Genomic DNA, 12,640 nt, shown 5'->3' with positions numbered 1-12,640 from the left:
CAGCAATTGTCCTCCTATTTTAAGTCTCAGAATTAGCATCATTTACACTTGTTTTTCACATATACGCCAGATGAGAAACTCCTTGAGGAAGCAAGGACATCTTACCCTATGTTTTTATTCCCTTTATTCCCCATCGTTGGCCCTACTACAATACCACCTGGCCCAGAGTAGGCCTTTGATAAATGCTTACCTGCACCAGCTGCCTAGTATCCAGTCTAAAGTTGCTGTTCTGCAAGCTTACCATTTTTTTAATGACATAAGCAGTATAGGAAACTGCTCATATCATGCTTATATTGCTTATATCAACTGCTTACATTATTATGTTTCTATAGGGCTTTCCATTTTCCCTAAATAAATTGAGAATGAAATTGATTTTTTTTCCTTAGAGCTAACCTTCTTTTTTGGAGGTGACAGAATATTGATGGCATGTTTTCTCTTACTGGTTTCCCCTGGAAATTTGCCCATGAAGTACTGAGGAATAAAATATTTAGATATATCTTTTGTAAAATTTACAATAAGTTCTGCCTAAAGCATAGTTGTGTACATTTGTCACATAAGCAAAGAACGTACAAAAGATTAGTGAGGCAATGTAGCTCCATTAATTAAGAGCACAGACTCAGGAGCTAAGACTTTCTTAAGTCGTCTTCTTCAGTTTTATGTGTAAAATGAAGACAATAATAGTAGCTTTCGCATAGTGTTGTTATGAGGTTAAACACGTTAACCTGCCATTCCAGGGTACCCATGCCTGGCTGTTTTAGTCCGTTTTCATGCTGCTGATAAAGACATACCTGAGACCAGGCAATTTACAAAAGGAAGAGGTTTATTGGACCTACAGTTCTACATGGCTAGGGAGGCCTCACAATCATGGCAGAAGGCAAGGAGGAGCAAGTCACATCTTACATGGATGGCAGCAGGCAAAGAGAGAGCTTGTGCATAGAAACCATTAGATGTCGTGAGACCCATTCACTATCATGAGAACAGTGCAGGAAAGATCCGCCCCCATAATTCAATCACCTCCCACCAGGTTCTTCCCATGACACATGGAGATTGTGGGAGTTACAATTCAAGATTAGATTTGGGTAGGGACACAGCCAGAATATATCACTGGCACAGTCTGTAAATGTCACCATCTGTTAATGAGTGAAGCAAGATAGACTCCAGGGAGGAAAGTAGAGGTAGGGAAAAGCCTGAACAGACAGGCACAACAGCTAGCAGGCAGTGGCTATCCTACAGGTCACAGAACGGTGTTCATTGGAACTTAATATGAAAAGGACTGTTAACGAAATGCCTTCATGGGGGCATTACCATCACCATCAATTGCTTCTTTAGGCCGGGTGCCATGGCTTATGCCTGTAATCTCAGCACTTTGGGAGGCCAAGGCGGGAGGATTGCTAGAGCTTAGGAGTTTGAGACCAGCCTGGGCAAGATGGCAAGACCTCAAAAACTTAAAAAATTAGTCAGGCATGATGGCATGCGCCTGTGGTCCAGTTACTTAGGAATCGGAAGCAAGAGGATCACTTGAGCCCATGAGGTCGAGGCTGCAGTAAGCCATGTTCACGCCACTGCACTCCAGCCTGGACTACAGAGCTGTCTCCAAAAACAAAAGCTTCTTCAGATGTAAAGAAGTCTATATTACTAAGTGATTAAAGAAAATGCAGAAACTGTCTCATACCATAGAGGAAACCAAGACAATATACCTAGTTGTGTTTTCCCTGAGTATATTACGTAAGGAAAAAGAGACTTGGACACAGGGTGTAGAGGGAATGTTATAACTTTATGAGAGATGGGTTTGTTATTATGTTGAACTGATTTAAACAGTACGTCTCTCCTCTGGATTTTCAGAATGACATTCCAAACAAATTTGAAATGAAACTTCGCCGAGCAACTGTTCTTGAAGACTCTTACCGGAGAATTATGGGTGTCAAGAGAGCAGACTTCCTGAAGGCTCGACTGTGGATTGAGTTTGATGGTGAAAAGGGATTGGATTATGGAGGAGTTGCCAGAGAATGGTTCTTCCTGATCTCAAAGGAAATGTTTAACCCTTATTATGGGTTGTTTGAATATTCTGCTACGTAAGTACCTTTACAATGATTATCGGCAGAAAAAGAAAAATCACTGTTTTAAAAGTAAGAGTCGGCCGGGTGCAGTGGCTCATGCCTGTAATCCCAGCACTTTGGGAGGCCGAGGCGGGCGGATCACAAGGTCAGGATATCGAGACCATCCTAGCTAACACGGTGAAACCCCGTCTCTACTAAAAATACAAAAACTTACCCAGGCGTGGTGGCGGGCGCCTGTAGTCCCAGCTACTCAGGAGGCTGAGGCAGGAGAATGGCGTGAACCCGGAAGGCGGAGCCGAGATCACGCCACTGCACTCCAGCCTGGGCAACAGAGCAAGACTCCTCTAAAAAAAAAAGTTACCATTTTAGCCATTTTAAATATACAATTTAGAGTCATTACATACATTCACATTGTTGTGCTGCCATCCCACTATCCAACTCTAGAACTTTTTCATCTTCCCAAAATGAAACCCTATACCCAGTAAGCACTCGCTCCCCATTCCCTGGCAGCCACCATTCTGCTTTCTGTCCCTATGAATTTGACTCCTCGGGTACCTCACATAAGTGGAATCATTCAATATTTGTCTTTTTGTGACCAGCTCATTTCACTTAACATGATGTCTTCAGGGTTCATCCATGTTGTAGTATGTATCAGAATGTCCTTCCTTTTTAAGGCAGAATAATATTCCATTATTTTTGCATATAATGCTTTGTTTAGGCTGGGCGTGGTGGCTCATGCCTGTAATCCCACCACTTTGGGAGGCCAAGGCTGGTGGATCACAATGCCAGGAGTTCAAGACCAGCCTGACCAACATAGTGAAACCCTGTCTCTACTAAAAATACAAAAATTAACCAGGCATGGTGGCGGGCGCCTGTAATTCCAGCTACTTGGGAGGCTGAGACAGGAGAATCACTTGAACCTGGGAGGCGGAGGTTGCAGTGAGCTGTGACCGTGTCATTGCACTCCAGCCTGGGCGAGAGCAAGACTCCATCTCAAAAACAAACGAACAAACAAAACTTTGTTTATACATTCATCTGCCAAAGGACATTTGGGTTATTTCCACTTTTTGACAGAAATTACTATTTTTAAAACCATTAAATCCAGTGGAGGAATGTGGTTCTAACAGTGGTAAACAACTCTTAAAGGAGGAAGATTATTTGTAATTATTTGTCATATTAAAGTTTTTCAAATGAAGTATTTAAATGGGGTTGTCTTTACAGGGACAATTATACCCTACAGATAAATCCAAACTCTGGATTGTGTAACGAAGATCACCTCTCTTACTTCAAGTTTATTGGTCGGGTAGCTGGAATGGCAGTTTATCATGGCAAACTGTTGGATGGTTAGTATTAAGTATAAACTTTTTACAATATAATTACCTGTTTTCTTTCACTTGGTAATCATCCTAAATGTATTTGGTTTTTTGCAAGGTTTTTTCATCCGCCCATTTTACAAGATGATGCTTCACAAACCAATAACCCTTCATGATATGGAATCTGTGGTATGTCTTTTTCACTTATAGTATAGACGAAGTATAATTTAACAAGCAGCTTGAACATTTTGAAGAATTTGCTTTTAATGACATGGAAATTAATATATTATCATGTTTCAAAATACAAATGAACTTTTTCCTCAACATTTTATTATGAAAATTTTCTAACATATAATAAAGTTGGAAGAATTTTACATTGGACAGTTGTATATCAACTACTCACAATTGCTTTTTTTCTAGATTTACTTTATCACATACCTATCTGTCTATCCATCAGTCTGTCTTAGTTTCTTCATGCATTTCAGAGTAAGTTATAGATAACATTAAACATCCCACTAAATACTTCAATAGGTTATACCAAGTTATATGTCTTTTGAATCAGTATTTGCATTATGATCTTTTATGATGAATGTTATATATATATATATATATATATATATATATATATATATATATTTTTTTTTTTTTTTTTTTTTTTTTTTGAGACAGAGTGTCACTCTGTTGCCAAGCTGGAGTGCAGTGGCGTGATCTTGGCTCACTGCAACCTCTGCTTTCCAAGTTCAAGCAATTCTCTGCCTCAGCCTCCTGTGTAGCTGGGACTACAGGCGCGCACCACCACACTCAGCTAATTTTTGTATATTTAGTAGAGACGGGGTTTCACCGTGTTCACCAGGATGGTCTCAGTCTTTTGACCTCGTTATCCGCCTGCCTCAGCGTCCCAAAGTGCTGGGATTACAGGCATGAGCCACCGCACCTGGCCAAATGGTGTATATTTTTTAAATGGCAGTCGAAAGGCAAAGCGTTATGGTTAGGTTCCTAGAAAAAAACAGAAGCCCAAGGATTAAACCCCGGACTGTAGCCGTGTTGTTTCCTGTGCTGCTGAATAGCCTCACACAATGTGTGTTCACATGAATTCCAGGGCATCTTCCTTAGTACCAAGTTCATTTTTTATTCTTTTCTTATTACATATTAACAGCACAAACAGTGTGATTCTTTATAAATCATAAGATTGCACAGTTACTTGAGTTGGTTCATTGAGCCTCTATATTTATTAAGAGATTTTTCTTTAACTCGGGCTGGGTATAAACAATGGCCTCCTCATAGCTACTTAAACATTTCACACTTAGTGCCGGACACAGGGGTGTGCAACTGTAATCCCAGCACTTTGGGAAGCTGAGGCAGGTGGATCACTTGAGGTCAGGAGTTTGAGACCAGCCTGGCCAACATGGTGATACTCTGTCTCTACAAAAAATACAAAAATTAGCCAGGCGTGGTGGTGCGCGCCTGTAGTCCCAGCTACTTGGGAGGCTGAGGTAGGAGGATCACTTGAGTCAAGGAGGTCGAGGCTGCAGTGAGCCACAGTCGCCCCACTGCACTCCAACCTAAGGGACAGAGCGAGACCCTGTCTCAAAAAAAAAAAAATTAAATTAAAAAATAAAAATAAAACATTTAACACGAAGTCACATAGGCATATGAGGAATGTGCTAAGTGCTCCTGGATATCCAGAGAAGTTAGGTTTTATCTGAAAACTTCTGTATTCATTCCTTTAACTGGATGATAAAATCTGTACCTCCACTGCTTCCACATAAACATAGATTCTAAACTTTTAAGTAGGCACCAATTGATTAATTGATTGATGCATTTTTACTCTTGCCCTTACCTGTCATCCATCTCTTTTTGTAATACACACACATACACACATACATTTTTGTTTATATATGTGTGTAAGTAAAGGATGTCCATCTGACCTCTCATCTTTTACCCAATTATTCAGACCCTCTACATACTGTTTTTTGCAATTTCAGGTGTGTTATAGATACAAATTTTAAATATGTAATTTTTCCCATCTAGGATAGTGAATATTACAATTCCCTAAGATGGATTCTTGAAAATGACCCAACAGAATTGGACCTCAGGTTTATCATAGATGAAGAACTTTTTGGACAGGTTTGTGAATTTTGATCAGTTAAAATGGCACATAAATTGTGAGACAAATGTTTAGATGTTAATACGTACACTTAATACATTCCTAGGCTCTGTTTTTACATTCATTTCCCAGTAACAAAAGCTGTCTCTGAGCAAGAATTTGTACTTTCTTTAACATTTGACTCGTTCCATATTTATTTTAGTAAAACTAGTATTTTAAGTTTTCTTAGTTTTTAACTTTTGACTGGACTTAATTTAAAACACCAAGTTTCTCGTATAACTACAATATGTATACTTTTTAAATTTTTCTCGCTAAAATAACATATCAAGTTATTGTGTTTAATTTTAGACACATCAACATGAGCTGAAAAATGGTGGATCAGAAATAGTTGTCACCAATAAGAACAAAAAGGAATATATTTAGTAAGTATTTTATTAGTATGTATTTTATTGGATATAATTTTGTACTTTATTCCAGAAAGACTCTTCTTACCATCTTTCTCTGTCCCCTTGTCCAGAATCTCAGTGTTCTTTTTCTCTATCACAATGCAGTAGCAAGCACTCATATTCAGCTTTTACCTTGGTCTCAGCTAGCCTTTAGTTTTTGTTTCTAACTAGAATAATTGTGCCTCAGAATTTTGTCTTGGTTCACATGAAAATGAAATGTTGTTTCTTTTTAGTCTTGTAATACAATGGCGATTTGTAAACCGAATCCAGAAGCAAATGGCTGCTTTTAAAGAGGTATTCATTTTCTTTTATTTGCTCTTCCATAATGTCACAGTATAACCTATAAGTTTCAAATATTAGGCCTCATCACATCTGAGAAAAATAAGTATATGGCTTGTTTTGTGAAATCATTCTAAATTATATTTTTATATTAACTAAATATTCCATTCAGTCATTCAAGAAGTCTAGACAATAAACATGGACAGGTCCCCTTTCCCCCAAGCCTTTTCCCTATTCCATTCTCTTCACTTTAGGACAGCAAAAGAACAAGAGTGCTTTAGGGATAGTATAACATATTGTTTGTTTTTCTAAATAGGATCACCTTACACATTTTGTTTTGTGACTTACTTTCTTCTTTTTTTTTTTTTTTTGAGCGCGGAGTGAGTCACTTTGTCGCCCAGGCTGGAATGCAGTGGCGTGATCTCGGCTCACTGCAACCTGCACCTCCCAGGTTCAAGCAATTCTCCTGCCTCAGCCTCCTGAGTAGCTGGGATTACAGGTGCCCGCCACCACGCCTGGCTAATTTTTGTATTTTTAGTAGAGACATGGTTTCACCATGTTGGTCGGGCTGGTCTCAAACTCCAGACCTCAAGTGATCCATCCACCTTGGCCTCCCAAAGTGCTGGGGTTACCAGTGTGAGCCACCGTGCTCGGCCTACTTTCTTCTTTTATCAGATATTTATTAGGGATATTTACATGTGACGACATATAGCTGCCTTTCTTTGTGGCTATATTTTATTCAGAATATAAATTAAAAAGTTACTTAAATTTTTCCAATTGGTAGACAGATTGTCAGAGCACTCATTTCTTAAGCTAACTTACAATCTTCTGTTAAATATGTATCTGGCTGGGCATGGTGGCTGACGCCTAAAATCCCAACACTTGAGGAGGCTGAGGCGGGAGGATTGCTTGAGCCCAGGAGTTCGAGACCAACGTGGACAACATAGGGAGACCTTATCTCTATAAAAAATTAAAAATTTGGGCGCGGTGGCTCATTCCTGTGATCCCAGCACTTTGGGAGTCCGAGGTGGGCAGATTGCCTGAGGTCAGGAGTTTGAGACTAGTCTGGCTAATGTGGTGAAACCCTGTCTCTACTAAAAATACAAAAAAATTAGCCGGACGTGGTGGCGTGCACGTGCAGTCCCAGCTACTCGGGAGGCTGAGGCAGGGGAATTGCTTGAACCTGAGAGGCAGAGGTTGCAGTGAGCCAAGATTACGCCACTGCACTCCATCCTGGGCAACAGAGCGAGACTCCGTCTCAAAAAAAAAATTAGCCTGGTGTCATGGCATGTGCATATGGTCACAGCTACTTGGGAGGCTGAGGCTGGAGGATCACTTGAGCCTGGGAAGTCGAGGCTACAGTCAGCTATGAGCTATGATGGCACTACTGCACTCCAGTCTGGGCTACAGAGTGAAACTTTGTCTCTAAAGTGTGTGTGTGTGTGTGTGTGTGTGTGTGTGTGTGTGTGTGTCACATACTTTTTCATAAATTCAGTATTGAGTACTATGTGTATGGTGCTGTACCAGGCCAAAAGACATAGGTCCTGTTATTAAGGTATGTATGATGTAAAGAGTGAAATGAACAGAGGCAAGCATAAAGTGCTAGGTGAGCACAGAAGAGAAGTACAAACCAGGGAGGGGCAAAGGAAGGGACAAAGAAGGACTAGAGGGATTGGCCAACCATGGAGAAGAGGGAAATGCAGTTCTAAGCAACAGGAGCAGCGTGTGTGAAGTCTGGCAATAAGGTAGGCTGTACCCACAGGCAGTTGAGTATGCTGGGTGAGAGAATGCAAGAGGGAAACAATCAGCCTGCGGAGCTAACAGACCAGCTTATACAGGGCCTGTGTGTGAAGTGGTAGAGTTCGGAGTTTTCTCTGAATTTCAATGAGGGAGAAGGAAGGTAGCATTAAAGGCTATTAACCAATAAGACACCAAGATTCAATTTATGTTTTAGATCATTCTGGAAGTGCTATGTAGAGCAAGTTAGAGGAGAGCCAGACTAGCAGCAGAGACTTCCCAGCAGAGTTGGGAAAGTGCTACAGTAATCTTGGTGAGAAATGGTGAGGAATTAAGGGAATGGTGAGGGAGTTGAGATAGGATTGGTAAGGGAATGAAGATAGTGGTGGTGTTCAGAGCTGCATGTGCATTTGAATGGCATTCAAAAAGGGAGACTTAAAGGATAGAGATGTATGGATTTGGGGATCATCTGCTTAAGTGTAGTGAAGCTGTGAACTCGATACAATGGAAAATGTGAAAGGGCTGTGAAAGCGGATGGCCTCACATGTGGAGAGAGACCTGGGAACACCAGCATCTTAACTGTTGTTTTGAATGGATGGTTTATAAATGGACAGTTTAGGGCATGGGAAAAAAAAAAAAAAAAAAACAGAACAGGAGACTGCAAAGGAAATAAGGAAATTAACAGAGGCAGACAAAAAGGTATCAAGAGTAGACAGAGTTTCAATAGAAAAGATGGTTTTAATCATATCATACTGCAAATAAGTCAAATATGATAAGGAATTAAATATGTTTATTAGATATAGCTGCAAAGCCATCTTTGACTTTTTCCAGAACAATTTCAAGGAAGCTGTAGTGTAGAAGTCCGATTGCAGTGGGTTGAGGGGTTAGATGGGAGGTGAGTGAATGGATTTGGTAAGTGCATAACACTGTCAAGAACTTGGCTGTGAAGGGAAAAAGAGAGTCATTAGTTTTTGTTTGTTTGTTTGTTTGTTTTGCTTTGTTTTAAAGGTAGGTATGGGTTGAGCACATTTAAATGCGTACAGAGTGAGCCAATAAAGAGAAAGAGATCTAGTGAGATGACCTCCCTGAGGAGCAGGTGAAGCACAGGTGCAGGCCTAGCCTGAAAGAAGAGGCGGCACTGCGGTGGGAAGGAGGCCATGATGGGTGTTGGTGATGGTTGGGACGCAGGGATGGAGAAGCTTGAGGGAGTTCCATTGTGCATAATTGCCTCTTTTCCCTCAAATAGAACTTACACTTACCTACTGTAAAGAAGGGGTGATGTGGAGGCTTGAGAAGGATGGGAAATTTGTTTTTTGTTGTTGTTCTTGTTGTTTTGAGACAGGATCTCACTTTTTGCCGAGGCTGGAATACCTCAGCCTCCCCAGTAGCTGGGACCACAGGTTCACACCACCATGCCTGGCTAATTTTTGTATTTTTTTGTAGAGATGGTGTTTCACCATGTTTCCCAGGCTAGTCTCAAATTCCTTGGCTCAAGCAGTCTGCCCACCCAGCCTCCCAAAGTGCTGGGATTACAGAATGAGCCACTGCGTCTGGCCACAGGAAGTTTTAAAAATAGCCACTTTGAGGAATAAATGAGAGAGAACAGACTGTGCACATGTACATTTTCTGGCCAATATTGAGATCTCAGTGAAGAGCCCGTGATTGTGTAGTGGTAGAAACTTGTGTGGATGTGGGATTCCTCCAGTAGCATCCAGAAGCTGAGGCATAGGAAAGGCCATTGGCCCTGCCCATCAAGTTTTTAAATACATCTTTTTTCTAGGGATTCTTTGAACTAATACCACAGGATCTCATCAAAATTTTTGATGAAAATGAACTAGAGGTAAGACATAACATTTTATGTTGAAACAGAAATTGTGAACCCATTATTTTCCTTGTTTATAATTTGACATTTCTTATGTAGCTTCTTATGTGTGGACTGGGAGATGTTGATGTGAATGACTGGAGGGAACATACAAAGTATAAAAATGGCTACAGTGCAAATCATCAGGTTATACAGTGGTTTTGGAAGGTAATTTGAAACTTCTATTTTCATAACTTACTTTTTGATAGATTGAATCATATTTAAGTCAACTCTTGATTAACTATACTGGTGGATTACATTTAACTGATACAGAAAAATATACAGACCAGAAAAAATTATCTTTGATTTTATACTGTATACATGCACCTTCTGGGTCTGTAACTATTACTAGGTAAGTAAAATGTTCAGAAGGTAGTAAGTGGAATGACAGGCTGAGACAGGCACTTAGTTTTCTACTAAAGTAGGGACTGAAAGAACTTGTAATAACCTGCAGGGTATTCCTAGGGACTCCTGGGTGGCTCTTTTAAAATTTCTCATAGAGAAATATGTATGCCATTCAATCATATTAATATAATGTGTTTTTTGAGATGGAGTCTCGCTCTGTCTCCCAGGCTGGAGTGCAATGGTGCCATCTCAGCTCACTGCCACCTCCACCTCCCATGTTCAAGCAATTCTCTTGCCTCAGCTTCCCGAGTAGCTGGGATTACAAGCATGCACCACCATGCCTAGTTATTTTTTTTTGTATTTTTAGTAGAGACGGGGTTTCACCTTGTTGGCCAGGCTGGTCTCAAACTCCTGACCTCAAGTGATCCACCCACCTCAGCCTCCCAGAGTGCTGGGATTATAGGCATGAGCCACTGCACCCAGCATATAATTTTTAAAAGTCATGAGTCACATCTCAAGAGAAATTTTGTTACTTCACTAGGTTATAATCCCATTCTAAAAAGTTGACATGTAGCCTTAGAAATAAAGTTTTCAAGAACTTTATAAACCATCTATAAACAAAAATTTAACTGAAAGAAACATCCACATCTAGTAAGGGATTATTAATATTCTAAATTCCGATAGCTTATGTTTCAGGATAATTTGTTTACCTCTTTCCCAGTGCTGTTCCCTAAATGATGTTTTTATCTTATTCAGGCTGTTTTAATGATGGATTCAGAAAAAAGAATAAGATTACTTCAGTTTGTCACTGGCACATCTCGGGTGCCTATGAATGGATTTGCTGAACTATACGGTAAGGATTTTCCATAGATCATTAAAAAAATGGAATAATGCGTATTGTCTTTTTCATGGCTGACGAATCCGCAAGCTTCCATCATTTACTAACACTTAGCTTAATTTTAAAAAGAATTAAGATTTTGAAAGTGATACCATTAGGGACACTGGAGTAGGCTAAAATATATTTACACCTTCTAATCAGATAATAAAGGGGAAAACTGGAAACATCAAATGACTTGAGTCACTTTCCGTTCTTTAACTTCAAATTCTATGCCCAGTATGCATCCGTTACAGAAAAAGCATTACCTTGGCCGGGAGGGGTGGCTCACACCTGTAATCCTGCACTTCAGGAGGCCGAGGCAGGCAGATCACTTGAGGTCAGGAGTTCAAGATGAGCCTAGCCAACACAGTGAAACCCCGTCTCTACCCAAAAATACAAATATTAGCTGGGCTTGGTGGTGCACACCTGTAGTCCCAGCTACTTGGGAGGCTGAGGCAGGAGAATTGCTTGAACCCAGGAGGCGGACGTTGCAGTGAGCCAAGATCGCACCACTGTAGTTCAGCCTGGGTGACAGACTGAGACCCTGTCTCAAAAAAAAGAAAAAGCATTACTTCTAATGTGATAGTTCAGGATAGCATTTGAAGTTTCACAGAATGTTACTAAGTGTATTTTTAAAAAAATAAAAACAGAGTCATGGTTGAATACCTTTAAGGAAATGCTGGACTAAACAAAGTTAAATGGATTTCTTCAGGACTTCTGTAGAACCTTTACTGTTAGAAGAAAACAAAAGCATTGTTTCCCAAACTTATTTGATCATGAAATCTTTTTTTTTTTTTTTTTTCAAGATAGGGGTGGAGAATCTCATTAGGCTACTATTTTTCATTTCTTGTGGGAGGCAGCAGGACTGGGAAGACTACATATCTCTTGATTTTCAGAATAGTTAATGCAGTTTTCGGTAAAGTAAGATTCTATGTATTCTATCAAATTATTTTCCAGTTGATGTATAAAACTGGAAGTGTGTTTTGTTTAAAAGTGCCATTTCTGATGTAGATTACAGCAACTTTTCTCATATTGATTCATATTCTGTTTATTGGAATGATATTTACTTGCTTTTAAGGAAACCAAGAATCCAAGAATAAATCTTTTACAAAGGATGTACCTAAAGTAGGAGGCCTACTCAGAACAATGAGTAAGATTAGGATTGACCTGGGGACTACAAGTCGGGACTGCTGCCTAGGAAATTGCTAAGCTGAATTTTTTGTGCAAATAGAAGCTGACCATATGATGGGATAGCTAAACCTTTCTTCTCCATGGCAAATCTGGTCAGCTTGCCAAGCCTCATTAATATGAGTTTGCAGAACTGATCAAGCAGCTGCTACCTCTCTACCTAGAGTAACCACTCAAAGTGGTTAGCTTTGCCAGTAACCAATTCAGTCATTCTTTGCCTAATTGGACTTGATAGCCTCTTTCTTTTTCATGGTTTCACCTGACTCCCCTTCCTCCATCTTCTCTACTTTAACAAGTTAGTAGCGAAAAATGAAGGCAGGGCAAACAAATGCCCCTTTCCGTCTCTGGCCTCTCTTCTCTCTTCTATGTAACCCAGCCCCATAGCCATCCACTGATTTCATGCACTGTTTGAAATTTGGGGCAAATATCC

The 12,640-nt window shown here is 40.1% G+C and overlaps 1 protein-coding gene across 10 annotated transcripts in view; it reads left to right on the top strand.

The window, feature by feature from the left end:
* The window catches only part of NEDD4 (NEDD4 E3 ubiquitin protein ligase), a 166,696-nt gene that overhangs the window by 149,607 nt on the left and 4,449 nt on the right, over positions 1-12,640 (top strand). For 9 of the 10 annotated variants that reach the window (NM_198400.3, NM_001284340.1, NM_001284339.1 and 6 more), the window contains 9 exons: positions 1,843-2,072; positions 3,279-3,400; positions 3,489-3,559; positions 5,402-5,497; positions 5,826-5,899; positions 6,157-6,217; positions 9,720-9,779; positions 9,861-9,968; positions 10,902-10,998. In NM_198400.3, coding sequence (NP_940682.2) covers positions 1,843-2,072; positions 3,279-3,400; positions 3,489-3,559; positions 5,402-5,497; positions 5,826-5,899; positions 6,157-6,217; positions 9,720-9,779; positions 9,861-9,968; positions 10,902-10,998 — 919 coding nt within the window. The remainder of the gene's footprint in view (positions 1-1,842; positions 2,073-3,278; positions 3,401-3,488; positions 3,560-5,401; positions 5,498-5,825; positions 5,900-6,156; positions 6,218-9,719; positions 9,780-9,860; positions 9,969-10,901; positions 10,999-12,640) is intronic. The other variant, NR_104302.2, reaches the window with a different exon arrangement.

Source organism: Homo sapiens, chromosome 15 (genome assembly GCF_000001405.40).
Source record: "Homo sapiens chromosome 15, GRCh38.p14 Primary Assembly".
NCBI classification, from domain to species: domain Eukaryota; kingdom Metazoa; phylum Chordata; class Mammalia; order Primates; family Hominidae; genus Homo; species Homo sapiens.
Note: the sequence above shows the minus strand (reverse complement) of the source record. Positions and strands in the feature narration are given on the sequence as shown.